Raw genomic sequence first — 4,123 nt, forward strand, 5'->3', positions numbered from 1 at the left:
TCAGGACATGGACAGGCTGAGCCACGTCTACTGTCTGGGGAAACACTAGGGTCTGTGGGTTCCTCCCTGGTGGATCCTGAGGGGCTGTCTCTGCAGGGTACAAGGCTGTGTCCATAGGCCCCGGGGTCCCCCAAGAGCTTCTGCTGTTCTGAGGCTCCTGCGTCCAAACGGGACCACTCGCCCTGCCCTGGAGCCCTAGCAACCCCACTCTGCTCCAGTAAGGAGCAAATCAGTGGCCCAGGACCACGGAGCCACCCCCACCCTCACCACCAGGCCCCAGCAGGGCTAGGCCAGAGGCCAAGGTGGACCCAGAATCCTGAGGACCCACGAGGCTACAGGGTCCCTTGCCCAGACTGCAGGCAGGAGCCCCCCACCCTCAGCCCCCTCTGAGGACCTCCTGCTCCCAGCAGCTCTGCAGGTAAAATGCTGCTTGATAAACACGCTCCTGTGTCTCCTTCCCTGGCTCTGTGCTAACGAGGGGGCGTGCAGAGCCGGCGGGGGGGGCGTCCAGAGCTGGGAAGGGGGTCGTGCAGAGCCGGGAGGTGGGGCTTGCAGAGCCGGCAGGGGGGGGCGTGCAGAGGCGGGAGCGGGGGCGTTCAGAGCCAGCAGGGCCAAGAGCAGATGGCAGCAGCTGCAGGGGCACCAACAGCCAGGCCATGATGCCGCGATGGCCGTGGAGGACTCGGGTCCCTGGCCTTCTCAGGAGGGGCTGCCTGTGGAGCACCGCCGGGTCCCCCGGGTGTGTGCACAGAGACAGAGGCTGTACTGGGAGGTCCTGGGAAGCAGGCGGCCCAGCTGTCCCCGCCGAGGGCCCTCCCTCAGCTGCCCTGGTCTGGCCTGGGGAGCTGCTCCCTGATTGCAGCAGCCGGGGTCCTCGCTCTCCGACTTCTCCTTGGGTCCAGCCCGTGGGGGTCACCGGCAGGATGGAGAGGTGGGTGCTTCCCTGCCCCATGCCTTGGGGCTGTATCCCTGCCGCAGCTCCTGTCCACTGGAGGCCCTTTGTCCCCAGCCCTGGCTCTCCTGGGTTCCCAGAAACTCCACTTCCTCCCCTCTCCCTTCTGGGGCGGGCACATGTGGAGCTGCAGTCAAACTCTCAGAGACAGAAAGCAGAAGGGAAGCCAACGGCTGGAGATGGGGCGCCGTGTTTCGTGGGGACCAGGTTTCTGCCTGGGAAGATGGGAAGGTTCTGGGCACCGCGACGGAGGGAATGTGCTTCACGCCACGGAGCTGTGCACTTGAAATGGCCCCGGGGTCGATTTTATGTTACGTGTATTGCAGCACATTTTTTAAAATAAATAAGTTTTTTAAAGCAGACGGCAAAAATGCCAGGTGCGCTGGACCTCGTTTGGGCAGGAAGGGGAGTGGCTGCCTCCTCTCTGCCACGGTGCAGCTCAGGTGCCCGAGGCCCGGCCTGTGCCTAGTGAGGGCTGAGCACATACAGATGGGCTGTTTCTGACAGGCAGGTTTAGGCTCTCGGGACAGCAGAGGCAGCCTCGGGGCCTGGGGCTCCCACCCCACGTGGCAGGGGTGTGCTGGGAAAACATGGGGCTCCAGGCGTGTCTAAGGCAGCACCTACCCAACCCGCAGGGCCCTGGGCTGGGGCCTCGCTCCTGCCCAGTCCTGGCCCCTGGAGGACCCTTTTGTCTGGCACCTCTCCCACAGAGCCCCCGATGCCTGCACCGGAGCTGAGGAAGCCGCCGTCCAGCCCTGTGGAAGGTGACGCCCTTTTCTGTTCAGAAGACAAAGCCGAGAATGCGGCAATGACCTGCGCCCCAGAGGGGATGACCTGCGGGCCACCCTGACCCCGGCCCGTTCCCCCACTGCCAGCCCTGTGGGCCTGACCCAAGGCTCTGTCCCCCAGGGAAGTCCAGCCACATCCTGCCTGAATCACAGACCCCAAGAAGAGTGAGACGAGAGGCCCGTGAACAGGACCATGGGGCAGGTGGGCAGAATGACCCACCGTGTGGAGACAAAGGCCCCCCTGCCTGGGGAGAAGAAAACACAGGCCCCCTGATCGTCCCGAATAGAGGGGCCAAGGGGCCTAAAATCTCCCTCCCCCAAGCTCCAAGCACCACAGCAGACGGGGTCTCCAGCCCTGGGGGTAAGAGATGGCCCACAGCAATGAGCCGGGCTTTCCTGGGTTGGTTTCATAGCTGAGCCGCCTTGAGCTGGGGGACGCCGCCCTCGACATCCCCAGCACAGACGCCGCCGTCGACGTTCCCAGTGCAGACACCGCCCTCGACGTTTTCCCAGCCAGGACGCCGCCCTCAACATTCCCAGAGGGGACGCCGCCCTCGACATTCCCAGCAGGCGCAGCTCAGGAGCACCTTGCCATCTGCAGCTCCCTGGGGGACGAGAAGAAACAGCAGCCACCCCTTTCTCGGGCACCTTCAGCTCCGCCGAGAACGCCCGACACTCAGAGACCCTGCTCTTTGTTAAATGGGAATGAGACATGACACAGACGCGGGGCAGCGGCCACTGCAGCACGGGTTGTCCACTGCCCAGCTCTGGGGCCAAACCCTCGGCGTCGCGCAAACCATACCTCCCGCGTGACGGCCGTGTCCGGCCTGCTCACCTGTGCGAGGCAGCCCTGCAGAGCAGGTCACCAGGCCACAGGAGCACCAGAAGAGAAGCCACGTCCACTGCGAGGGCCATCCGGTGTCATGTCCCTGCCTCCACTCAGCCCCAGGCCCACAGCTGCAGCCACGCAGCCCCGCACAGCGTCACCGTCTCCAGGATCCATCGGCAGTGGGGGGGGCCGTCTCCCACCTCCCTCCTCTTACCTCCCCCCACCTCCCCAGGGCACGCACTCCCTGGCTCCTGCGCGATGCCCAGCAGGGTCCAAAATGCACCTGGATGCCCGGGAGCCGTCGTCCGCCCCACAGGCAGCCCCAGGAGCCATCGCCCGCCCCAAAGGCCCCCCCGGGAGCCGTCACCTGCCCCACAGGCCCCCCCAGGAGCCGTCGTGCGCTCAGTCGGGTCGTAGCCTTCATTCCCGTGGCTGATGATCCAACAGCGGGGACCTGTGCGGCCCCAGCACCCGTTCCACTGATGCTTGGTGTGGGCGGTGGCTCGACCCCTTCGACCGCGCACGTCATACAGGGGGTGGTTCCTCCAGCACAAGCCGCGTGTGGCGGGCAAGCCCTGAGATGGCCCCAGCGCCCCCGAGGTGCCTGCACCCCTCCCGTGAGGGCGGGGCCGTGATGCGAAGGGCTCTCCTGCTGGGTGAAGTCTCCTCGTGGCGTTGGCGGTCGGGCAGTTACTCCGCCATCAGCCCCAGAGGCTCGGCAGAGTCTCCTGAGCTCCCGGAAGGGAGTCCGGTGCTGTGAGGGCCGCGAGCCAAGCGGGAGGCTCAGGGCCTGTGTCTATTGCAGCCATTTGGCCAAGGATGTTTCCTGAGGACGATGTCAACGAAGGGAGGCCGCCTGGGGGTGGGGCAGGTTTCACAGCCTCCCATGGATGTGGGTGCAGTGGGGCCAGTTCCAGCTCTTTGTATCCCACGAGCCAATAAATGCCTTTTTGGCACTGGAGCCAGTTTGAGGGATTTTTTTTTCTGCTATTTGTAACCAAAGCCTCCTAACCCATCAGGATCCCTAATAGAACAGCAGGAGGGGAAAGAGAGAGCTGTGGTGCCAGATAGGACAGGCATGGGACCCCGGCCCCGGCCCCTCCCCACCAGCCACATGACGGAGGCTCTGTGGGGGCACAGGGAGGCCACATGTCCCCAGTAGGAACATTTGGGTTGGAGCCAGGCCAGGGGCAGCCTCACAAGTTAAGACAAGAACATACTCTCTGTGGCTCGAGTAAAGATAGTGGCGGGGCCGGGAAGACAGCCCAGCCCCAAGTCCCCATCGGCCTCCGTGCCCGGAGACCAGAGACCCCTGTGTGGGGGTCCCAGCACAGAGCCCAGCTGCCTTTGTAATGAGGGGAAACCAGCGGAGCAAGGGGTTGGGAATAGAACCAGCTGTAAGAAATGGTCCAAATCCCCAGGTAGAGGTACCAGGGGGTCAAGCCCCCTCACCTGGTCTCTGCCCAGATGTTTGCTTCCAGGAAAGCCATGCGTCAGTCAGCTGGGACCCACCGAGTGACAAACAGCCCCTCATCCAGAGGCACAGAACAACCG

At 64.3% G+C, this 4,123-nt stretch overlaps 1 annotated feature.

Annotated features, from left to right (window-relative positions):
• Positions 1,743-2,379: an enhancer, noted in NCBI's record as "H3K27ac-H3K4me1 hESC enhancer chr12:132982751-132983387 (GRCh37/hg19 assembly coordinates)". NCBI's record gives its function as "activates a minimal SCP1, AML or CMV promoter by ChIP-STARR-seq in naive H9 embryonic stem cells {active_cell/tissue: H9 hESC(naive)}" and the evidence as "EXISTENCE:reporter gene assay evidence [ECO:0000049][PMID:30033119]".

This window comes from Homo sapiens, chromosome 12, assembly GCF_000001405.40.
Source record: "Homo sapiens chromosome 12, GRCh38.p14 Primary Assembly".
Lineage (NCBI taxonomy): Eukaryota > Metazoa > Chordata > Mammalia > Primates > Hominidae > Homo > Homo sapiens.